The following is a 26,608-nucleotide window of genomic DNA, read 5'->3' on the forward strand; positions in this document are numbered from 1 at the left end:
CCTCTTGATTTGTTAAAAATTTTTAAGGTTAAACTTTAAATAAGGTCAGTAATACTAATAGTTTTTTTGGAAATGGCATATTTTAGAATTTTCTGTTACATGTAGGTGATTATCACTATGTCAAAGGAGTGAACAAAATTGTTAAGATGTTACTTAGTGGAGGATTTTCATTTAACTCCTAATTCTTTTTTTTTTTTTGTTATACTTCAAGTTCTAGGGTACATGTGCACAACATGCAGGTTTGTTACACAGGTATACATGTGCCACGTTGGTTTGCTGCAACCCATCAACTCGTAATTTACATTAGGTATTTCTCCTAATGCTAACCCTCCCCCAGCCCCACACCCCCGATAGGCCCCGGTGTGTGATGTTCCCCACACTGTGTCCAGGTGATCTCATTGTTCAATTCCCACCTATGAGTGAGAACATATGGTGTTTGGTTTTGTATCCTTGTGATAGTTTGCTGAGAATGATGGTGTCCAGCTTCATCCATGACCTACAAAGGACATGAACTCATCCATTTTTATGGCTGCATAGTATTCCATGGTGTACATATGCCATGTTTTCTTAATCCAGTCTATCATTGATGGACATTTGGGTTGGTTCCAAGTCTTTGTTATTGTGAATAGTGCTGCAGTAAACATATGTGTGCATGTGTCTTTATAGTAGCATGATTTATAATCCTTTGGGTATATACCCAGTAATGGGATGGCTGGGTCAAATGGCATTTCTAGTTCTAGATCCTTGGGGAATTGCCACACTGTCTTCCACAATGGTTGAACTAATTTACAGTCCCACCAACAGTGTAAAAGTGTTTCTGTTTCTCCACATCCTCTCCAGCACCTGTTGTTTCCTGACTTTTTAATGATTGCCATTCTAACTGGTGTGAGATGGTATCTCATTGTGGTTTTGATTTGCATTTGTCTGATGACCAGTGATAATGAGCATTTTTTCATGTGTCTGTTGGCTGCATAAATATCTTCTTTTGAAAAGTGTCTGTTCATATCCTTTGTCCACTTTTTGATGGGGTTGTTTGTTTTTTCCTTGTAAATTTGTTTGAGTTCTTTGTAGATTCTGGATATTAGCCCTTTGTCAGATGGGTAGATTGCAGAAATTTTCTCCCGTTCTGTAGGTTGCCTGTTCACTCTGATGGTAGTTTCTTTTGCTGTGCAGAAGCTCTTTAGTTTAATTAGATCCCATTTATCAATTTTGGCTTTTGTTGCCATTGCTTTTGGTGTTTTAGTCATGAAGTCCTTGCCCATGCCTATGTCTTGAATGGTATTGCCTACGTTTTCTTATAGGGTTTTTATGGTTTTAGGTCTAACATGTAAGTCTTTAATCCATCTTGAATTAATTTTTGTATAAGGTATAAGGAAGGGATCCAGTTTCAGCTTTCTACATATGGCTAGCCAGTTTTCCCAGCACCATTTATTAAATAGGGAATCCTTTCCCCATTTCTTGTTTTTGTCAGGTTTATCAAATATCAGATGGTTGTAGATGTGTGGTGTTATTTCTGAGGCTTCTGTTCTGTTCCATTGGTCTATCTCTCTGTTTTGGTACCAGTACCATGCTGTTTTGGTTACTGTAGCCTTGTAGTATAGTTTGAAGTCAGGTAGTGTGATGCCTCCAGCTTTGTTCTTTTTGCTTAGGATTGTCTTGGCAATGTGGGCTCTTTTTTGGTTCCATATGAACTTTAAAGTAGTTTTTTCCAATTCTGTGAAGAAAGTCATTGGTAGCTTGATGGGGATGGCACTGAATCTATAAATTACCTTGGGCAGTATGGCCATTTTCACGATACTGATTCTTCCTATCCATGAGCATGGAATGTTCTTCCATTTGTTTATGTCCTCTTTTATTTCGTTGAGCAGTGGTTTGTAGGTCTCCATGAAGAGGTCCTTCACATCCCTTGTAAGTTGGATTCCCAGGTATTTTATTCTCTTTGTAGCATTGTGAATGGGAGTTCACTCATGATTTGGCTCTCTGTTTGTCTATTATTGGTGTATAAGAATGCTTGTGATTTTTGCACATGATTTTGTATCCTGAGACTTTGCTGAAGTTGCTTATCATCTTAAGGAGATTTTGGGCTGAGACGATGGGGTTTTCTAAATATACAATCATGTCATCTGCAAATGGGGACAGTTTGACTTCCTTTTTTCCTAATTGAATACCCTTTATTTCTTTCTCTTGCCTGATTGCCCTGGCCAGAACTTCCAACACTATGTTGAATAGGAGTGGTGAGAGAGGGCATCCTTGTCTTGTGCCAGTTTTCACAGGGAATGCTTCTAGGTTTTGCCCATTCAGTATGATATTGGCTGTGGGTTTGTCATAAATAGCTCTTATTATTTTGAGATACATTCCATCAATACCTAGTTTATTGAGAGTTTTTAGCATGAAGGCTGTTGAATTTTGTCAAAGGCCTTTTCTGCATCTGTTGAGATAATCATGTGGTTTTTGTCATTGGTTCTGTTTGTGTGATGGATTACGTTTATTGATTTGCTTATGTTGAACCAGCCTTGCATCCCAGGGTTGAAGCTGACTGTATCCTGGTGGATAAGCTTTTTGATGTGCTGCCGGATTCGGTTTTCCAGTATCTTATTGAGGATTTTTGCATCGATGTTCATCAGGGATATTGGTCTAAAATTCTCTTTTTTTGTTGTGTCTCTGCCAGACTTTAGTATCAGGATGATGTTGGCCTGGTAAAATGAGTTAGGGGCGATTCCTTCTTTTTCTATTGATTGGAATAGTTTCAGAAGGAATGGTACCAGCTCCTCTTTGTACCTCTGGTAGAATTTAGCTGTGAATCCATCTGGTCCTGGATTTTTTTTGGTTGATAGGCTATTAATTATTGCCTCAATTTCAGAGGCTGATTTAAGTCTAAATTCTAAACTGCCTAATTTAGGTAGAACTGAGAGAGAATAAATAATAAGTTATTTGGAGATAGGGGCTTAAGTCCCCCTATAGAGTACAGGAAGTTGTTAGGTGGTGTTGAAAGAATACATGTATGTATCAGTCATCTAGAAACATAATTATTAATTTTATTGCACATAATATTTTAGAGGTGTATTCACTTTCCTGCTTTGTGTGAATATAATGGTAGAAGATAGCATTCATAGTTAAAATACTGGCCTGGGACTGTAGAACTGGGTTCTGCTTCTGGCTCTATTAACTAAATGGTGGGTGATCTTCAGTACTTGAAGAAAGTGGCTTTTAAAAAATATTGTATTATCTGGTCATATGGTAAGTTTTAATATTTTTTAAATGTATCACTATTATTTGTATAGTAACCTTTATTTGTTTACCAATCACTGAACGCATACCACAATGTGCTGAGGGCCTTTCAGGTAGAAAGGTGGAAGAAAGCATGTCGTGTTTGAGAAAGTAGTGTTCTGTGACCAGAGTGCTAGGTGCAGTTATATGTGTCAGAGGAGGTAAAGGTGAAGGTTACAGCCAGTGACTGGTTTGGTGCTGATCTTATGAGTGATAGTAGGGAGAGAGTAGGGAGCTCTTAAAATATTCCTGCAATAGCCTAGGCAATAGATGACTAGATCCTGAATTAATGTAATGGCAGTGGACTTGATAAACAGGAGATGCCTACAAAGAATATATTGAGGAGTCAGAATAACCAAGACTTTTGGCAGAAGAGGGGAGAGTCCAGGATGATTCCTGAGCTGGGCCTTAAGCACCTAGAGTGAAAGTGATGGTTTATTCCTGGACTTTAAGTGGTATGGATATTATAGTAAGTAGAGATGACAGAAGAGTGTAATGTGAAGCTTTTCCAATTTTGTCATAACAATGTTTAATTGCATTGCTTACAAAAAAGAATACATTCTCTCCGTTTGTAGTAATTAGCAAATGCTGCAACAGATAAATCAATATCTGAGAATATCTAGAAATTGTGAAAAGTATGAAAACTGCTACCTCTAATTCCACATCATCATTAAAAAATTTGAATTGTGTGGTTTATTCTTTAAAAAAATAATTAAAACAGAGAACAGCTTCCCCTAAAAAACAAGTTTATGAAACTGAAGGAATGGACTCTGTATTAAATATTTCCAAAGAGTTCCTGAGACCAAAAACGGTGGCCCTTCTTTTCCAGCAGCTGGAATCCAAAAGATCTTGAAACCAGTCCTGAAAGGCTTGCTCCTATGCAAGAAATCCTGGTGAATTTTGAGAGGAAGATAGAGAAATTTCTCGAAAATTTCAAGTGGTAGTAGAGGTGAGTTACTGCCATGAAGAATTTATCCAGGGACTAAAAATATTCATTTTTCTTTATAAAAGTTTTTAAAAATATGTATATTTAGCTGGAAATAAGATTTTCAGTTGAAAATCCTAGTCTTTGTGTTTTAAAGCTTTTAATGAATAGAAAATAATAGAGCAAGTAGTTTCCCCCCTCCCACACAAATACATTAAAAATTTAAGAAAGTTTTAATCATCAGCAACAATGATGTTTCTATAAGATGATGATACTGGAAAAATGCATGGTAAATAAATGCCATATTTATGCTTTGAATGTATTTTGAGTGTAAGATCTGCTTGGATGAGATTTTTTAAAATATATATTCATGATCTTTTTGATTTATGAGAAGACTTTTTTCTCCTTAGTAAAGGAGGAAGTCTCCTTTTTCTGATTCAAGTGCTGCTTGGATACCCTACTGAAGCTCCCTCTAGATAGTATTTTACTTAGAAACAATGCAGGATTACTATAGCCCCTTCTAATTATTTTATTTAGTTGTTGGGAATAGAAAATATGTGGACATGGTACAAACTTTAAAGGGGACAAAAGTGCAGTGAATATTCTCCCTCCCACTTCTGTCTCTGTCATTCAGTTGCCCTCCATAGAAGTAACCATATTTATCAGTTTTTTGTATATTTTTCCTCACATATTTTATGCATATATATATATATACACAGACTTATAGTTGGCATACATTTTTATATCCTTACAAAAATCTTTTGACCCATAGGTAGGACTCTTCTTTCTCTCAATCAGTTCCTCAGAAAATGGAGTAGAAGAAAATTGGCATATTAGTGTGTTCTCACACTGCTATAAAAATACCACCTGAGACTGGGTAATTTATAAGGAAAGGAGGTTTAATTGACTCGGTTCCTCATGGCTGGGAGGCCCCAGGAAACTTATAATTATGGCGGAAGGCGAGGGGAAAGCAAGGCACATCTTATATGGCAGCAGGAGAGAGAGAAGCGTGCAGGGGAAACTGCCATTTTTAAAACCATCAGATCTCATGAGAACTCCCTCACTATCGTGAGAACAGCATGGGGGAACAGATCCCCATGATTCAATCACCTCCCACCAAGTCCCTTCCCAACACCTGACGTGTGGGTATTACGAGATGAGATCTGGGTGGGGACACGAAGCCAAACCATATCAATTGGGTAGAAAACTATTTTAAATAGTTATTAGATTAATTTTCTTCCTCCAGATTAAAACATAGGCATGTGGCATCCTTCTGTTAAACATTGATATTTAAGATTTGACTATTTTAACATTTTGCAGTTTTGCCATTGGGAATTTAGAAGATGTAATTGCAACTTAATTGTAACCTAATCATTTGCAATATCTGCTTCTCTATTTTTCCCCCACTTACCTCATTTAAAAAAAAAACAACAACCAGTAAACCTCAAAGGACAAGTCAGTACACATATACAAATTTGTGAAAACTATGCAGATAGCTTCCTGAAACAATACGTTAGAATGAATTTTAGTTTTACTATTAATGGCTGTTGTTCAGGTACTTCTTAGCATCTGAGGGACAAAGTACAGGGGTAAGAAGAAGATACTGAGAAAAAGGGAGATGTATAAAGAAGGAAAGTCCAAGAAGCCACATTTATGAGGCTTAGCCACTGAGCATGGAATGGACTGTATTTGGCTTTAGTTGGCCTAGGACAAGTAGAAGCCATACCTTGAAGTAGATTATTCACTTAGAGACCTCTGGTTTCCAAGATTTTGGAAGATTAAAACAAAATATTTGACAAGTCTTCTTTTCAGGGGAATGCATTATTAATTTGGAATTTCAGGTGGTATGTCATTTATTTTGCCTCTTATTATATTTAATTATTGTTTCCTGATCCTGACAGTGACGTAAACTTGGGCACACTTTGTTTTATCTGTTCCTACTCTTTATCTTCACATATTTATTTCAAGGTTCTGTTTTCAGTAAAGCTGTTATGTGCTGCTTAATTGCCATTTGTCACTGGAGATGCCCTGTTGACATAAAACAGTGATTTTTTAAAAAAATATTTACAGTACTGTTAAAAATGAATGAAATCTCCTATTACATTTGCTTGCTTACTCATTGATTCTACCTACTTTCTTTTTATCTATTCCCATGTTTAGTTATACGTGTTATTTTTTGTATGTTTTAGTTTCTTAAATTAGACAAATGTGATAAGCAAATGTCATTTAAAATTTTAAATTGACAGCCCCAATTCTCTTCAGTCTCTGTAAAATATAAATGACTTAAAATTGTTTTAGAATAGGGGTTTTGCTGTTTTAATGCTAAAACTGTGATTGGGTAAAATGTTTTGTACTTAGGAAGTTTCACAAATAGAAATGTTTCATATACATTAGATTGCAGTGACAGTATGTTGGGCAGTAGATGAATTTCAGCAATTCAAAAAGTATTTTAAAATATTGACTTCCAAGTGATGTGATGCTTTGGGCTGGTGATGTTGTATGTACTAGATTATGTGGGGAAACTAAAAACACATCGATTATGGATTGATGAGGGCAAAATACTTTTAATAGTAAGGTTTAGGATTCTTCAATGGTTTATTACACCATTTCCAGGTGAAGCCTGCCTTTGTAATTATAAGGGTGGTAAGTTTGGATGAAGATGAGTCAACTAAAAAAGTGCAGTACAAAATTCATCTTTCTGGGAACATACGTTAAATGAGAACAGGCTGAATTTAATGGGAAAAGTCAATAACAGTAGTTTAAAAATATGTTCAATTGGCAGGGTGCGGTGGCTCATACCTGTAATCCCAGCACTTTGGGAGGCCCAGGCGGGCAGATCATCTGAGGTCAGGAGTTTGAGACCAGCCCGGCCAACATGGTGAAACCTCGTCTCTACTAAGAATATAAAACTTAGCTGGGCATGGTGGCACGCATCTGTACTCGCAGCTACTTGGGAGGCTGAGGCAGGAGAATCACTTGAACCTGGGAGATGGAGGTTGCAGTGAGCCAAGATTGTGCCACTGCACTCAAGCCTGGGTGACAGAGTGAGACTCCGTCTTACAAAAAATAAATAAAAATAAAAATACGTTCAGTCTACTGGCAGAAGTACATGTTCACTTATTCCTCAATATGTTAATATATTTTTCTTAAAGTAAACATGAATGTTGAGTTTGTATTCAATAGATTCTTACAATCATTTCTTACTTTGTCAAGAATATCAATACATTTTCTCCTCACTTGCTTGACTTGTTTTTTAAATCTTCATTTTGAGATGAAGTATAGTTTAATGAGTAAATAAATGTCTACTTAAAAATATTTAAAAAATAAATTTAATAGAAACTTTAACTTAAGTAGTTCAGAGTCCTCCCCTTTCTTTTTTCATACTTGAAGTGTGAGATAAAGAGAAAAAAAAATACTGACAGGGAATGATGTGACTTCTCTAAAGCCAAAGAATTTTCAAAATTACTAAGATCTTTGAATTTTTAGTGATTTATTTGATAGCCTCACAATTATCCCTCCTGTAGAAGTGAAAGCAAGTTTAGAAAATTTAAGTGTTTCAAAATGATGCTAAGTACTAAGTATTAAAATAGTACTTAGGGTCCGTCTTGATTCATAGGAACTAGATGGTAGAGGTTCAGATAGCTAGTTTATTACCAATAATTTAAAAAATAGAACTTAGTTTTTCTTTTAGACAAAAGTACATGTCACTTATCCCCTCCACACCCCCTGTTTTTTTGCAACCAGTCTGCTTGACGTAGCTTTGGAAAACTGAATAATTAATTGCCAAAGAATAAGCAGAAGCATTTTTGGTGAGAGAACCTAAAAGAAAAGGAATAATGTTTTAACAACAGGAATGATGTTTTAATAATAGAGGTAACACTTATAGCATCTTCTGTCTTGTCGTAAAATTTTCTAGATACTTATTTTGACTAGCTGCTGCATGGTGATATGGATTGGGAGTGAAGGAACTGAATCTTAGTGTCAGCCGTGTCACTAATGCATTATATTAACCAGTAGAAAAATCATACAACCTCTTTGTGCCTCAGTTTCCTCTCTGTAAAGTGAAAACCAGGCCTCTAAAACTAAGAGCCTGCTGTTAGTAAGCCCTGCAGGACATAGTCCCAGTTCCACTGGATGAAGCCTGAAATATCAAAATCATTGATGGGTGATGTTGGTTCTATTGCAAGTTGAATTATGGAGACTGATAGAATCTTAGGCCTGTTACTTAACATCTTTACAGATTCTGTTTCTTTTCCTGTAAAATTAGGATAATAATGCCTGTCTCATGGTTGTTTTGAAATTTAAAATTGCAAATATAGGTAAAGTGTTGAGGCTAATGCTTGTGTCACTGTAGCTATTATGCTATTTTTATTATTTTTTTCCTGCTACTTACTGGGCAGAGTTTACTCTTCAGGGCCTTGAGTCCTTGAGGACAGCTAGTTTGCCCCATATTCTTTATCGCCTCCCCAAAACATCAGCTCCTGTTGTTTTTTTCCCCTGCCCTCTCATTTCCAAATTGCCCAATCTTTCATTTTCACTGGTTCTTTCACTGCTCCCCTACCTCCCACCCTTTTCTAGTCTACTTTTTAGAAACCTAGAAACTAAGCTTACCAATATATTTTTTATAGTCACAAAATGATCTCTCTACATCTGTGATGTCATTGAATTCTTATTTCCCCAAATCCCAACTAACAAACACATCCATGCACTTTTACGCAGTCACTTTTTGGCAGTGGTCTCCTATAGAAATGACTCATTATTCCACATCACCTCTACCTTTCAGATTTTAATGTTACTATTTGTGATAACATCACTAGAACAGTGTTTAATAGTTTGGTATAATGTACATATCTGCCTTGTTCCTAATTATTTTTTATTTCCCCCCCGAGATATTAATGAGCTACATTAAATAGATATGTACAGTCATAGTCATTGAATATAAGATACTGCTGATTTTAAGAAGCACATCCACTTTACGGACCAATAAGAAAAAAAATACCAATTATTAGACACCATCAATTGTGAGATGTATTCCTATTTCAAAGACGTTAAAATATGAAAAAATGTAAACGAGGATTGATGAGATATAGTATAGCATTTTTAATCTTAACTTTTCTGTTAAAATTTCTATATATTCTTGCTTGATAGAAACTTTTCAAATTTTCTTACTTTTGCACTTTCAGTGAACTGTATCTGAATTACTTTTTGCTTCATTGCAGACTAAGGCATTTTTACTTGGTCTAGTTCTTTCCAAATGTTTAATGTCTTTATGATTACATAACTTGATCATCTTCTGTTTACAAATTCCCATCACGGCACAAAGATGCAGCATCATTTGAATGCTTGAGATGGAAAACATTTTTTCGATTTTCAGGAAGGGTGAGCTATACTGAAATTTTCTCAGCTCCTCTCCCCACACACAGAATTACGTATTAACTCTTCTTATGCTAACTTCATGCTAGTAGCCACTGTGATGTCATAGAGCCCTCTGACTTTATACTGTTTACCTTTTATAATTTTTTTATTTTACACAATTTTGAAGCTCAGATTTATTTTGCCTTCTATGTCATCTTGGAGCTTAATGGTAAAGCCCGCCCCTTTAATCCATTTTTCTCACTGCCCTCCGCCCCCCGCCCATTACTTCACTTTCTCATTATCTCTAGAGGGAAGACTTAGAAATGTAGTTTACTCTGAGAGAATACTTACATTGAGGTGAGGAAGAATAGATACCTAGAGGTGATTGTATATTGGAATTTAGTGCACTTTAAAACTCTCAGTTGGGAGAAGAGTCACTATATTTTTTGTTTGAAGAAAGATAGTTCTGTGTATACTTGAGGGCTACAACTCAACGCAGATGTCAGGTAACCTGTTAAATCTGGATTGTCATCTCAAGGACATAGGGGTGTGTGTCTGGGAAACAGGAAGAAAAAGAAATATTATGAAAACTGATCTCTCTACCAGTTAAAACATTTTAAGGAACTGAAGTTCTGTGTAAATGATGTCATATAATATTGTAATGTTCTTAAATCTTACATTTAGTTTCTAATATAATAGAATATTAAGGAAGTACTGTTTGCATAGTCATTCCTCATAGATGACACTGAAACCTAATTAAACTGGTTGAAATGATTATCAAATTGTTTTATTCTTACTGAGCAATTGTTCTTACCATTGGAATTCACAGATTTTTAGGGAGGAGTTTCTATGAACTGAACTTATATGTAAAGTTTGGGCATTAGGCACAATTTATTAGGGTTTTGTAGGGAAACTCCTCAAAGGGATTATTATTAATAACTCAAAAGAAATTAATACATTTTTACAGAGTTTTAGGTCAGCACTGTTTCTCTCTTATCTGGCCTTCATTGTGATCTTGATTGTAAATCAGTAGAATCCCAGGGTATTTCAAAGCTCAAAAGAAAGAAAACTTGTCAGCCCTGGAAACGGGAGCATTGTTCAAGTGGTGCACTAGAAAAAATGGCAGTACTGCCTACAAACTATGAGGGAATTCACTGTTAGGAAGTAGTAAGTGTAAAGGTGGTACTGTTTTCACAAAAAAAGACATTTAGATTATGGACTATGGATCAACATACGTTGATAAATGTGAAGGATTAAAAATATGCTTCTGTTTTAACTTGAGTGATTAATTTCGTAGTTGTGATTTAAATTATATTTCTAAGGAGAATATATATTGGAAATAATAAATTATTTGGTATTTGTGTATATGTATGTATGTGTATGTATGTGCAGGAATCACTTTTTAATGTTTATGTGAGTAATTAAAAAATTTTTTTTATTATAGTGCATGCAAGATATGGGAAATACTAAAGCAAGACTACTCTATGAAGCCAATCTTCCAGAGAACTTTCGAAGACCACAGACAGATCAGTATCCTTTAAAACTTATTTGTTTTGAGTTTAAAAAACATTAACTCATTTTTACAGTTCATATTTTATCTGTTAGTATTTAGGAAGATGTGAACTTTATCACGCTACTGTTCATTAAAGATAGAAATTGACTTGCTGTGAGCTGTGCTTTGTATATGGTAGGTTTTTAGTAGGAATTTGGCACACAGATTACATAATTACATAAAAATACACGATACATATGGTATTTAGATGTGATTACAGACCCCTGATTCACAATGATTATTTGACTTACGATTTTTCCACTTCATGATGGTGAGAAAGCAGTATGCGTTTGGTAGAAACTGTACTTTGAGTACTAGTGTAACCATTCTGTTTTCACATTCAGTACAGTATTCAGTAAATTACATGAGATATTCAATACTTTATTAAAAATATGCTTTGTGTTAGAAGATTTTGCTCAACCGTAGGCTAATGTTAGTGTTCTGAGCACATTTAATGTAGGCTAGGCTAGGCTATGTTTGGTAGATTAGGTGTATTAAATGCATTTTTGACTTAAAATATTTTCAACTTAGGATGGGTTTACTGGGGCCTAACCCATTGTAAGTTGAGGGGCATCTCTGTTACTAAGTGTAAAATGTTATGACTGATTCTTCTTGATTGTTCTCCATCTCTCAATTGGAAAGTATATGCTGTTTATTATTTTAGACTGTTACTAGAAACTTGATTTGTAAGCATCCTGAGTATGTTAGAAATCATTTCCATATATTCTTTGATTACCTTTATATAGTAGTTATATTTATGTGAGGCATTGTGGCATTTAGAAGGCAAATTACATAGTATTTTTTACATAGCGTAAATTCTGAGTAATTTACACTACTGACACTCTGTTGTAGGTTGCACAACTATGTTTGCTTTATGAATCCACCTTTATGAGTGGATAGAATTGTTTCCCACATAATCCACCTTTATGAGTGGATAGAATAGTTTCCCATGAAAACATTTTAATATGTTTTTTATGTTTTCTAAATATAAAATCATAATTCTGTAGGATTTTTATAACTCATAGTTTAAAAAAGCAGCTCATCAAAATTGTGCTGCTTTATAAATAAGATTATCTGATTAATTGTAGGTACGTGGATTCTGTTTGAAGGTAACATTTGTGACTTTGACAATAAAATGTAGTTTATTAACGATCAATTATATTGTACCCATTTGTATAGTAAAACAATTTGTGTGGCCAGTGGAGGAAATATCTTTTCTCACACAGAGATATAGGTCATTATATGTTTATTTCCACATTTGGACAGAAACCTTTTAAATTATAATTGAGAAGTTAGTAATTTGTATTTGGCGTTTTCTGTTTCTGTTCGCCCCACTCCTTTCTCACAAATTTAGCAGTCTGATATCCGAAGCTGTATTTGTTATAGAAAGTTTGCAGGGTTAATGGTAGAAGGTTCATTTCAGGTATAAAAAATTGTGTGAGTAAAAGTATGGAGGTATGAGAGAACATGACCTTTTAGGTCAGAAGAAGCTTGGAAGGTATTTTGGTCCAAATTGCGAAGGGTTTTCAGTATGATGTAGAGTAGTTTAGACCTCATTTCATTGGCCCAAGTGTTTAAAAACACATGAAGGATTTTGTCAATGTACAAAAATCACAAGCATTCTTATACACCAATAACAGACAAACAGAGAGCCAAATCATGAGTGAACTCCCATTCACAGTTGCTTCAAAGAGGATAAAATACCTAGGAATCCAACTTACAAGGGATGTGAAGGAACTCTTCAAGGAGAACTACAAACCACTGCTCAAGGAAATAAAAGAGGATACAAACAAATGGAAGAACATTCCATGCTCATGGGTAGGAAGAATCAATATCGTGAAAATGGCCATACTGCCCAAGGTGATTTACAGATTCAATGCCATCCCCATCAAGCTACCAATGACTTTCTTCACAGAATTGGAAAAAACTACTTTAAAGTTCATATGGAACCAAAAAAGAGCCGGCATTGCCAAGGCAATCCTAAGCCAAAAGAACAAAGCTGGAGGCATCACACTACCTGACTTCAAAATATACTACAAGGCTACAGTAACCAAAACAGCATGGTACTGGTACCAAAACAGAGATATAGATCAATGGAACAGAACAGAGCCCTCAGAAATAACGCCGCATATCTACAACTATCTGATCTTTGACAAACCTGAGAAAAACAAGCAATGGGGAAAGGATTCCCTATTTAATAAATGGTGCTGGGAAAACTGGCTAGCCATATGTAGAAAGCTGAAACTGGATCCCTTCCTTACACCTTATACAAAAATCAATTCAAGATGGATTAAAGACTTAAACGTTAGACCTAAAACAATAAAAACCCTAGAAGAAAACCTAGGCATCACCATTCAGGACATAGGCATGGGCAAGGACTTCATGTCCAAAACACCAACAGCAATGGCAACAAAAGCCAAAATTGACAAATGGGATCTAATTAAACTAAAGAGCTTCTGCACAGCAAAAGAAACTACCATCAGAGTGAACAGGCAACCTACAAAATGGGAGAAAATTTTCGCAACCTACTCATCTGACAGAGGGCTAATATCCAGAATCTACAATGAACTCAAACAAATTTACAAGAAAAAAACAAACAACCCCATCAAAAAGTGGGCGAAGGACATGAACAGACACTTCTCAAAAGAAGACATCTATGCAGCCAAAAAACACATGAAAAAATGCTCATTATCACTGGCGATTAGAGAAATGCAAATCAAAACCACAATGAGATACCATCTCACACCAGTTAGAATGGCAATCATTAAAAAGTCAGGAAACAACAGGTGCTGGAGAGGATGTGGAGAAATAGGAACACTTTTACACTGTTGGTGGGAATGTAAACTAGTTCAACCATTGTGGAAGTCAGTGTGGCGATTCCTCAGGGATCTAGAACTAGAAATACCATTTGACCCAGCCATCCCATTACTGGGTATATACCCAAAGGACTATAAATCTTGCTGCTATAAAGACACATGCACACGTATGTTTATTGCAGCATTATTCACAATAGCAAAGACTTGGAACCAACCCAAATGTCCAACAATGATAGACTGGATTAAGAAAATGTGGCACATATACACCATGGAATACTATGCAGCCATAAAAAATGATGCGTTCATGTCCTTTGTAGGGACATGGATGAAATTGGAAATCATCATTCTCAGTAATCTATCGCAAGAACAAAAAACCAAACACTGCATATTCTCACTTATAGGTGGGAACTGAACAATGAGATCACATGGACACAGGAAGGGGAATATCACACTCTGGGGACTGTGGTGGGGTGGGGGGAGGGGGGAGGGATAGCATTGGGAGATATACCTAATGCTAGATGACGAGTTAGTGGGTGCAGCACACCAGCATGGCACATGTATACATATGTAACTAACCTGCACATTGTGCACATGTACCCTAAAACTTAAAGTATAATAAAAATAAATAAATAAATAAAAATAAAAACACATGAAGGATTTTGAAGCAGGAGAAACATTAGAAACATTAACTTCCACTGTAAGGAAGAATAGTTGGAGGTGGGAGGAGAGCCTAGAAGCAGAGAGACCATGTGAAATACTTATACAGCCCAAAATTAGCAATGACAATCTAAGTTAGATAGTGGCATTGGGAATGGGCAGGATTAAATTGGAGAGATTGGAAACAAGTTGGGAAAGCTACATTAAGATTGGCTTTGGTTCTGAGGGAGTCACTAAAATAACCCTGAAATTTCTAGCTTGGTTGACCATAAAGCTTATTCACTGGGAGAAGGAATTCATTACCAGCAGGAGGATTAAGAGTTAGAAATGAAAGATAATGAGCCATGCTTTCTTACTTTGGGCAGATTGATACTTCTGTTACACATATACATGGAGTTACCCCATTTGGTGGCTGGAAACATGAGTCTGGACCCTAGAAGAGAGCAGTACATTCAGATTGAGGAGTCGCTTAGCATGTAGGTGATGATATAAAGTGCTGGGTCAGCTTATGTTTACCTAGGGCAGCAGTTCTTTATTTTGCAGATTTTATTGAGAATCCTGAGAATTCTTTTCCTTCTCTGGAAAAGGAAAGCCTGTGGCTGAATCCTGAAGAATAAAGCATGGTAGAAGGAAAAACAGCCCAGCATACAAATCAGCATTGTAGGTGGTTGTTACCAGCTGCTTGCTGGTTACATTAATTTATTCCCTCTTTTTTTGCCCCCCACTCACTAGGCTGAGTTGATATATATGACCCCTCGAATTGAAGAATCCTCCTTTTCTGGAAGTTTGTGTCTGTGGCAGGGTGGGGAGGTTGGGTTGGGTTGGATTTTTTAGGTGTCCCTTGAATATAACAGGGTAAATTACTTGACGTTTTTGAAAATTTTGGTTTCATCCTTTATGTGTTACCTATGCATGAGAGTAGCTTCCAAGTTATTTAATTTATTACACTGATTCCATATTGTTTTCAAATTATCATGAAGGATATTGAGGGCAGGACAGTATATATCTTCTTGGTATCCTCACTTATTGAACTATTCTATGCACCATTTTGTGTAGGTTGGTAGGAATACTGTTTCTTCATTACCACCAATTTTATGATGCACCTTAGAGAGCTAAAGTGCTAATGAGATATTGCATTATTAGTTCTGTTATCTTGGCTGATATATTTTAAAATATTTGGTCCTTTTCTATAGATTTCAGGAAAGATGAGATTTTTATAGTGAATTGATTGGTGTCTATATTGGTAAATCCTTGACGTTCGACACAGTGAAGATATAATACTGGAAACAACAGCTGTAATAACTTTACTGCTTAATAAGTGTTTGCCCTATGCCAAGCCCTGACCATGGCATTTTATGTACATTATCTTTTTTATTTCTCAAAATAACTCGGTGACATAGAGCATAATATTTTCTTTTGTGGGGAGTGGGGTGGGAAGGATGAGATGCTCAAAGAGCTATTAAGAAACTTCCTAAAGCCTCCAGACTTTCCCTCCTGTATCGGGACACTTGAGTATTATTTAATGATGGTAGTCTGAGTAAAATCAGTGCTGCCACATTTAAGTCTTGATTGCCTTTGAAAATAGGGTTATTATAATTTGGCACTCTTGGCAGCTAGATTGTAAGATCTAGGTGAAGATTTCAACTTTTCATTACCTGGTATGATTTATGTTAGGCTTTTGGATTAACTATATATTTGCTGTTGTTACCTCAGTCATTCTTATTTAATTTTTCAAACTAAATGTTACTCCTTTTTACAAATTATGGTCATATTTATGTGAGGTATTGATCTTTATTGTTCATATGGTTGTCAGACTTGTTTAAAGAGGGTCTTTGTCTAACATGTTTGAGCTAGATGATTACTTATGTTAAGAGTATAAGATGACAATTCTTGGACCATGAGACTAGTCCCCATATCTAATGTAATCTGTAGCCTTTAAAAAAATTACCTTGGTTATTATAACAATACTTTTTATTCTTTTAATTATGAAACACTGTAATTTGGAGGTTTTGTAGGGAGAGGCTGGTAAGAAAACCGGCTTGCCTTTCTCTCTCCCTCCCTCCAGTCTTTCCTTTCATCTATCCATCTTTCTAAAGCTCATTGCTCTTTGAAAAGCCTAACATTTCTGTAGTTTTATAGATATAAATATAGTTGTCTCATCCCTAGAGCAAGTATAACCAAACTAAGTTAAACTCATATAATATGGGACCTCATTGCATTCTTAACAAGATTTGTCACTTTTTAAAAAGCTTTGCAATTTACAAAAGTTATGCAAAAGCTGCTGTGAAAGTGTAATTTCTAATGTGGGATGTGGTTAATTATAGGCTGCATGTCCTAGTGCATGACAAATGATAAAGCTTTACATTAAGCTTTTCATTATTAGGATATTTTGTCTTATCTAAAAAACTTTAATTACTTCAGTTCCATGAGATCTATTGTGTACCAAAGCTAATCAGCAGTTCTCCTTTGAGCTTTTCAAAGTTTTACTGCTGTCAGTGCTGTGTGTTTGAAACTGGAAGATTTTCTTCTTTGGGAGTAGATATTAATTTAGTTGTCTTTCAAATGGTATATTTTTAAAGAAAAGAAAAAAATCTTAAAATATATAGATACATGTTAAAAGATAAAGCGTATAATAATGTTGAAATTTTTGTAGGCTTGTATAGTACCAATTGTTAGTTTTGGGGACAGGGAGAATTAGGGGTGCTGTACTGAGTGCTTTATAACTGTAGGCATGGGGAAGATTCTGGGATAGTTTGATATTGTTTACTAAGTAATTCCCAAATTAAAACTTGAACTGTTATTATAATAATGTATTTCTTATCTGACTCCCTGAAAATATTATTGTTCTGTTTCTAATTTTTTGGGTTGTATTATTGATCTATGTCAGTATAACTAAGTCCTTATATCTCAAATGACTTCTGGAGACTGTAAAATGAAGATAAATAGTTCCTGATCTCCAGATTCATTGGTTCTTTTGTTGTCGTTTCTCATTTACTCATCTGTTTAAACTTGATGGTATGCAAGCCATCTTAGCCCTCAGTACAGTAATTCTGTTTCCTCTTGCTACCATGGACCCTATCTTTTAAGTGATTTGCCTATCAGAATACCTTTGTTAATAATAAGAGCTAAAACTTAAATAACACTATGTACCATCTACTATTTTAGTTGTTTAGATACTATTGGCTTATTTAATTCTTATAATAATCCTATGAGATGATACTGGTTTTATCCCCATTTTAAAGGTGATGAAACCGAGGCACCAAAGTATATAAAAATAAAACTAAATTCATACGTTAAATTCTTACTGTTAGATACTATACTAAGTGCTTTATGTATATCTTAATCTTCAAACTCTTGTCAACCTTGTGAGGTGAGTATTACTATCTTTTTTACATATCTAGGTATAGGTTCAATAGATCAGCTAACCTAAAGGTCACAATAACTGCCGGTGTAATAATAAGTGCCTACCTGTACTGGAAATGAGGCTGTACATTGGAGACTATCTTCTTTGAGAATGTCAACATATAATGCAAAACTATGGTAAAAATTTCCTTCGAAAATCTTTAGATTGTTTATGATGACAGTTTACAGACACATGTACCCCTAATAATCCATTTGGCTGTTCTTTGCCCTCTAGTACTGAATAGAATTCAGGAATCAGTAACTACAGGCCCATGAGCTAGCTGCCTGTTTTTGTAAATAAGGTTTTATTAGAACCCAGCCATGTACATTCATTTATGAATGTTCTGTGGTCGCTTTGGAGAGCTATGAAGGGACAGTTGAGTGATTGAAACATAGACCAACTGTCCCACAAAGCCTAAAACATTTACTTTCTGGGCCTTTAAGGAAAAGTTTGCCAACCCCTGGGATAAATAACTGTTTCTTTAGGTGAACTAACAGTACAGAATTGGCTTGCATTTGGGACCTTGTACAAAAATATACAAGGACTGTGTGAGACATTCTTGCAGTAGGAGGCACATAGGAACTGAGAGCAACCAAAGATATAGCATGTTTTCCAAACTAGATTTCTTCCTTGGGTGACTCCATGGAATTTAAAAATTCACTTTGTAGTGTACTTGGATTGCCTTTTAAAAAGTATAAAAAGTGATCTTATGTTAATAATTAGGAAGGTTCTAGTAAGTTCTTCTACCCTAATGCTTTATTTTTATATCTTTGAAAAACACTATGTACCAAACATACCAACTTTGGCTTCTTATAATTTTTAAAAAATGTATACTTCCTAGAGATAAGTTCTGAAAGGATTTCTTATTGTAAACAGAAGTGAGACTCTCAACTGCATTTGAATTATTTATATAAAATACATTAAATATAAATTAAGATTTCACAGATACATGTTATTTTGGAAAATTCACAGCAACATACAGATAATAATACCAGATGTTAGTATTGTATTCAACTCCAGAAGATTGTATACTTAACATAGTTAACTTTCACAAACTCAGTATTTGTAAAACCATCGTAGTATTCTACATAGGAATACCTTGTTTTATTGCATGTTGCTTTATTTGCACTGTACAGATATTACTTTTTTTTTTTTTTTTTTTTTTTTACGAATTGAATGTTGTGGCAACCCTATGCAAAGCAAGTCTGTTGGCGCCATATTTTCCAACAACACATGTTTACTTTGGGTCTCCATGTCACACTTTGGTAGTTCTTGGAATATTTCAAACTTTTTTATTAGTAGTATATCTTTATGGTGATCTGTCATCAGTGATCTTTAATGCTACTGTTGTAATTGTTTCAGGGCACTGGGAACTGCACCAGTATAAGGTGGCAAATGTTATAACAAAATTATAACATAAATGCATGTTTTTAATTAATTTATAAAAGTTTGCATTCTGACTACACTGATCAGCTTTTCCCTTTCTTTTCCTCTGCACTCCGTATTCTGTGATACAACATTAACACCTACAGTAGCTTCTAAGTGTTCTAGTAAAAGAAAGAGTCTCACCTTGCTCATTTTAAATCAAAAAGCTATAATAGAAAGGATTAAGCTAGTGAGGAAGGCATGTGGAAAGAAAAATAGGCTGAAAGCTAGGTCTATTGCACCAAATAGTCAAGTTGTGAATGCAAAGGAAAAATTCTTGAAGGAAATTAAAAAGTGCTACTCTAGTAAACACATGAATAATAAAAAAGCAAAACAGCCTTTTTGCTGATATGGAGAAAGTTGGAGTGGTTTGGATAGAAGTTCAAACCAGCCACAACATTTCCTTAAGCCAAAGCCTAATCCTTAACAAAGCTTTAACTCTTCAGTTCTGTGAAGGCTGAGAGTGATGAGGAAGCCTCAGATGAAAAGTTTGAAGCTAGCATAGGTTGAGTCATGAGTTTGTGTTTTTGTTTTGTCTGTTGTTTTGACAGGTTCTCACTGTGTCACCCAGGCTGGAATGCAGTGGGGCAGTCAACTCACTGCAGCCTCTGTGTCCTGGGCTCAAGCGATCGTTCTGCCTCAGCCTCCTGAGTAGCTGGAACTACACATGCACACTACCATGCCCAGCTAATTTTTTTTTTTTTTTGTAAAGATGGGCTTGCTATATTGCCCAGGCTGTTCTTCAACTCCCAGGCTTAAGTAATCCTCCTGCCTTACCCTCTCAAAGTGCTAGAATTACACATATGAGCCACTGTTCCCAGCCTGGTTCATGAAGTTTAAGAAAAGAAGCCATCTGCAGAACATAAAAATCAAGATGAAAGAGCAAGTTATCCAGAAGATGTAACTAAGATAATTGATGAAGGTGACTACACTAAACAACACATTTTCAGTGGAGACTAAACAGCCTTCTGTTGGAAGAAGATGCCATTGAGGACGTTCATACTGGAGAAGTGAAGTCAATGCCTGGCTTCAGCGCTTCAAGACAGGCTGACTTTCTTGTTAGGAAAATGCAGCTGGTGACTTTAAGTTGAAGCTAATGTTTATTTACTATTTTGAAAATCCTACGGCCCTTAAGAATTAAGCTACATCTATTCTGCCTGTGCTCTCTAAGTGGAACAACAGAGCCTGGGTGACAGCACATCTGTTTACAGCATGGTTTACTGAATACATTAAGTCCACCGTTGAGACCTGCTGCTCAGAAAGAAATAATTTTTTTCAAAGTATTACTGTTCATTGACAATGCTCCTAGTAACCCAAGAGCTCTGATGGAGATACACAAACATGTTGTTTCATGCCTGTCAATACAACATCTGTTCTGCAGCCCATGGATAAAGGAGTAGTTTTACTTTCAAGTGTTTTTTCTTTTTTTTTGACAGGGTCTCACTCCATTGCCCAGGCTGGAATGCAGTGGTGCGATCATAGTTCACTGCACCCCTGACTTTCCAGGCTCAGGTGATCCTTCCACCTCAGCGTCCTGAGTATTTGGGACTACAGGCACACCACTACCACACCCAGCTGATTTTTGTATTTTTTTGTAGAGATGGAATTTTGCCATGTTGCCAGGCTGGTCTTGAGCTCCTCGGCTCAAGCGATCAGCCCACCTGGGCCTCCCAAAGTGCTGGGATTACAGGCAAGAGCCATTTTGCCCAGCCAGAAAACTTGTCTTTATAAACAGTGTCCAATTATTCCTCTTAATAAATGGAATGTTTAGATTTTATGTCCAGCTTGCGTCCCTGGCCCACTGTGAGTGCTTTCATAATGCCCCAATTCTTTTCATATCCACCATATAGAGCCTCACTTAATGTCTTTGATAGGTTCTTAGAAACCACGACTTTAAGCAAAATGACATATAATGAAACCGGTTTTACCCTAGGCTAGTTGATGTAAACAAAAGTTAAGTTCCTATGGCATATTTCTGGTCACAAATATATGACATTTCTAAATAAAGACCCATAACATGTCTAATACCAAAGTTTGAAATAAATGTGAGTTATATACATACATTTAAGGAAGACTAGTAAAAACAAGTGAGATAATTATTTACCCAATTTTTAGTGAATCTATGAGTGATAGTCATAGTGGTGGTGGGTCAAATCAAGGAATAAATGTTTGTAAAGCAAAAATTGTATTGAGCACCTCCTACCATAATGAAGTTGAAAAACAACAAATATGATGGGCTTCCTGAGGACTTTCTTACCACATCATTTATTTATTGTGCATTTGTATGATTGTATACTTGACAAATTTTTATTTTACAATTTGTATTCACTTTTCTTTTTTTATTTTTTATTTATTTTTATTTTATTATTATTTTACTTTAAGTTTTAGGGCACATGTGCACAACGTGCAGGTTTGTTACATATGTATACATGTGCCATGTTGGTGTGCTGCACCCATTAACTCGTCATTTAGCATTAGGTATATCTCCTAAAGCTATCCCTCTCCCCTCCCCCCACCCCACAACAGTCCCCAGAGTATGATGTTCCCCTTCCTGTGTCCATGTGTTCTCATTGTTCAATTCCCACCTATGAGTGAGAATATGCAGTGTTTGGTTTTTTGTTCTTGCGATAGTTTACTGAGAATGATGATTTCCAATTTCATCCGTTTCCCTACAAAGGACATGAACTCATCATTTTTTATGGCTGCATAGTATTCCATGGTGTATATGCGCCACATTTTCTTAACCCAGTCTATCATTGTTGGACATTTGGGTTGGTTCCAAGTCTTTGCTATTGTGAATAGTGCCACAATAAACATACATGTGCATCTGTCTTTATAGCAGCATGATTTATAATCCTTTGGGTACATACCTAGTAATGGGATGGCTGGGTCAAATGGTATTTCTAGTTCTAGATCCCTGAGGAATCAACACACTGACTTCCACAATGGTTGAACTAGTTTACATTCCCACCAACAGTGTAAAAGTGTTCCTATTTCTCCACATCCTCTCCAGCACCTGTTGTTTCCTGACTTTTTAATGATTGCCATTCTAACTGGTGTGAGATGGTATCTCATTGTGGTTTTGATTTGCATTTCACTGACAGGCAGTGATGGTGAGCATTTTTTCGTGTGTTTTTTGGCTGCATAAATGTCTTCTTTTGAGAAGTGTCTGTTCCTGTCCTTTGCCCACTTTTTGATGGGGTGGTTTGTTTTTTTCTTGTAAATTTGTTTGAGTTCATTGTAGATTCTGGTTATTAGCCCTTTGTCAGATGAATAGGTTGCAAAAATTTTCTCCCATTTTGTAGGTTGCCTGTTCACTCTGATGGTAGTTTCTTTTGCTGTGCAGAAGCTCTTTAATTTAATTAGATCCCATTTGTCAATTTTGTCTTTTGTTGCCATTGCTGTTGGTGTTTTAGACATGAAGTCCTTGCCCATGCCTATGTCCTGAATGATAATGCCTAGGTTTTCTTCCAGGGCTTTTATGGTTTTAGGTCTAACATTTAAGTCTTTAATCCATCTTGAATTAATTTTTGTATAAGGTGTAAGGAAGGGATCCAGTTTCAGCTTTCTACATATGGCTAGCCAGTTTTCCCAGCATCATTTATTAAATAGGGAATCCTTTCCCCATTGCTTGTTTTTCTCAGGTTTGTCAAAGATCAGATAGTTGTAGATATGCGGCGTTATTTCTGAGGGCTCTGTTCTGTTCCATTGATCTTTATCTCTGTTTTGGTACCAATACCATGCTGTTTTGGTTACTGTAGCCTTGTAGTATAGTTTGAAGTCAGGTAGCGTGATGCCTCCAGCTTTGTTCTTTTGGCTTAGGATTGACTTGGCGATGCGGGCTCTTTTTTGGTTCCATATGAACTTTAAAGTAGTTTTTTCCAATTCTGTGAAGAAAGTCATTGGTAGCTTGATGGGGATGGCATTGAATCTATAAATTACCTTGGGCAGTATGGCCATTTTCATGATATTGACTCTTCCTACCCATGAGCATGGAATGTTCTTCCATTTGTTTGTATTCTCTTTTATTTCATTGAGCAGTGGTTTGTAGTTCTCCACTTGAAGAGGTCCTTCACATCCCTTGTAAGTTGGATTCCTAAGTATTTTATTATCTTTGAAGCAATTGTGCATGGGAGTTCACTCATGATTTGGCTCTCTGTTTGTCTGTTATTGGTGTATAAGAATGCTTGTGATTTTTGTACATTGATTTTGTATCCTGAGACTTTGCTGAAGTTGCTTATCAGCTTAAGGAGATTTTGGGCTGAGACGATGGGGTTTTCTAGATATACAATCATGTCATCTGCAAACAGGGACAATTTGACTTCCTCTTTTCCTAATTGAATAACCCTTTATTTCCTTCTCCTGCCTAATTGCCCTGGCCAGAACTTCCAACACTATGTTGAATAGGAGTGGTGAGAGAGGGCATCCCTGTCTTGTGCCCGTTTTCAAAGGGAATGCTTCCAGTTTTTGCCCATTCAGTATGATATTGGCTGTGGGTTTGTCATAGATAGCTGTTATTATTTTGAGATACGTCCCACCAATACCTAATTTATTGAGAGTTTTTAGCATGAAGGGTTGTTGAATTTTGTCAAAGGCCTTTTCTGCATCTATTGAGATAATCATGTGGTTTTTGTCTTTGGTTCTGTTTATATGCTGGATTACATTTATTGATTTGTGTATATTGAACCAGCCTTACATCCCAGGGATGAAGCCCACTTGATCATGGTGGTTAAGTTTTTGATGTGCTGCTGGGTTCGGTTTGCCAGTATTTTACTGAGGATTTTTGCATCAATGTTCATCAAGGAGATTGGTCTAAAATTCTCTTTTTTGGTTGTGTCTCTGTCAGGCTTTGGTATCAGGATGATGCTGACCTCATAAAATGAGTTAGGGAGGATTCCCTCTTTTTCTATTGATTGGAATAGTTTCAGAAGGAATGGTGCCAGTTCCTCCTTGTACCTCTGGTAGAATTCGGCTGTGAATCCATCTGGTCCTGGACTCTTTTTGGTTGGTAAGCTATTGATTATTGCCACAATTTCAGCTCCTGTTATTGGTCTGTTCAGAGAGTCAACTTCTTCCTGGTTTAGTCTTGGGAGGGTGTATGTGTCGAGGAATTTATCCATTTCTTCTAGATTATCCAGTTTATTTGCGTAGAGGTGTTTGTCGTATTCTCTGATGGTAGTTTGTATTTCTGTGGGATCGGTGGTGATATCCCCTTTATTATTTTTTATTGCGTCTATTTGATTCTTCTCTCTTTTCTTGTTTATTAGTCTTGCTAGTGGTCTATCAATTTTGTTGATCTTTTCAAAAAACCAGCTCCTGGATTCATTGATTTTTTGAAGGGTTTTTTGTGTCTCTATTTCCTTCAGTTCTGCTCTGATTTTAGTTATTTCTTGCCCTCTGCTAGCTTTTGAATGTGTTTGCTCTTGCTTTTCTAGTTCTTTTAATTGTGATATTAGGGTGTCACTTTTGGATCTTTCCTGCTTTCTCTTGTGGGCATTTAGTGCTATAAATTTCCCTCTACACACTGCTTTGAATGTGTCCCAGAGATTCTGGTATGTTGTGTCTTTGTTCTCGTTGGTTTCAAAGAACATCTTTATTTCTGCCTTCATTTCGTTATGTACCCAGTAGTCATTCAGGAGCAGGTTGTTCAGTTTCCATGTAGCTGAGCAGTTTTGAGTGAGTTTTTTAATCCTGAGTTCTAGTTTGATTGCACTGTGGTCTGAGAGACAGTTCGTTATAATTTCTGATCTTTTACATTTGCTGAGGAGAGCTTTACTTCCAACTATGTGGTCAATTTGGGAATAGGTGTGGTGTGGTGCTGAAAAAAATGTATATTCTGTTGATCTGGGGTGGAGAGTTCTGTAGATGTCTATTAAGTCCGCTTGGTGCAGAGCTGAGTTCAATTCCTGGGTATCCTTGTTAACTTTCTGTCTCGTTGATCTGTCTAATGTTGACAGTGGGGTGTTAAAGTCTCCCATTATTATTGTGTGGGAGTCTTAAGTCTTTTTGTAGGTCACTCAGGACTTGCTTTATGAATCTGGGTGCTCCTGTATTGGGTGCATATATATTTAGGATAGTTAGCTCTTCTTGTTGAATTGATCCCTTTACCATTATGTAATGGCCTTCTTTGTCTCTTTTGATCTGTGTTGGTTTGAAGTCTGTTTTATCAGAGACTAGGATTGCAACCCCTGCCTTTTTTTGTTTTCCATTTGCTTGGTAGATCTTCCTCCATCCCTTTATATTGAGCCTATGTGTGTCTCTGCATGTGAGATGGGTTTCCTGAATACAGCACACTGATGGGTCTTGACTCTTTATCCATTTTGCCAGTCTGTGTCTTTTAATTGGAGCATTTAGCCCATTTACATTTAAAGTTAATATTGTTATGTGTGAATTTGATCCTGTCATTATGATGTTAGCTGGTTATTTTGCTCGTTAGTTGATGCAGTTTCTTCCTAGCCTTGAAGGTCTTTACAATTTGGCATGTTTTTGCAGTGGCTGGTACCGGTTGTTCCTTTCCATGTTTAGTGCTTCCTTCAGGAGCTCTCTTAGGGCAGGCCTGGTGGTGACAAAATCTCTCAGCATTTGCTTGTCTGTAAAGGATTTTATTTCTCCTTCACTTATGAAGCTTAGTTTGGCTGGATATGAAATTCTGGCTTGAAAATTCTTTTAAGAATGTTGAATATTGGCCCCCACTCTCTTCTGGCTTGTAGAGTTTCTGCCGAGAGGTCAGCTGTTAGTCTGATGGGCTTCCCTTTGTGGGTAACCCGACCTTTCTCTCTGGCTGCCCTTAACATTTTTTCCTGCATTTCAACCTTGGTGAATCTGACAATTATGTGTCTTGGAGTTGCTCTTCTCGAGGAGTATCTTTGTGGCATTCTCTGTATTTCCTGAATCTGAATGTTGGCCTTCCTTGCTAGATTGGGGAAGTTCTCCTGGATAATATCCTGCAGAGTGTTTTCGACCTTGGTTCCATTCTCCCCGTCACTTTCAGGTAGATCAATCAGACATAGATTTCGTCTTTTCACATAGTCCCATATTTCTTGGAGACTTTGTTCGTTTCTTTTTATTCTTTTTTCTCTAAACTTCCCTTCTCGCTTCATTTCATTCATTTCGTCTTCCATCACTGACACCCTTTCTTCCAGTTGATTGCATCGGCTCCTGAGGTTTGTGCATTCTTCATGTAGTTCTCGAGCCTTGGCTTTCAGCTC

At 36.3% G+C, this 26,608-nt stretch overlaps 1 protein-coding gene across 10 annotated transcripts in view; it reads left to right on the forward strand.

Annotated features, from left to right (window-relative positions):
- SMAP1 (small ArfGAP 1) overlaps positions 1-26,608 on the forward strand; it is a 194,133-nt gene that overhangs the window by 76,106 nt on the left and 91,419 nt on the right. For 9 of the 10 annotated variants that reach the window (NM_001044305.3, NM_001281439.2, NM_021940.5 and 6 more), the window contains one exon: positions 10,992-11,077. In NM_001044305.3, coding sequence (NP_001037770.1) covers positions 10,992-11,077 — 86 coding nt within the window. Of the gene's footprint in view, positions 1-4,096; positions 4,217-10,991; positions 11,078-26,608 lie in introns of all 10 variants that reach the window. The other variant, XM_047419229.1, reaches the window with a different exon arrangement.

This window comes from Homo sapiens, chromosome 6 (assembly GCF_000001405.40).
Source record: "Homo sapiens chromosome 6, GRCh38.p14 Primary Assembly".
NCBI lineage: Eukaryota > Metazoa > Chordata > Mammalia > Primates > Hominidae > Homo > Homo sapiens.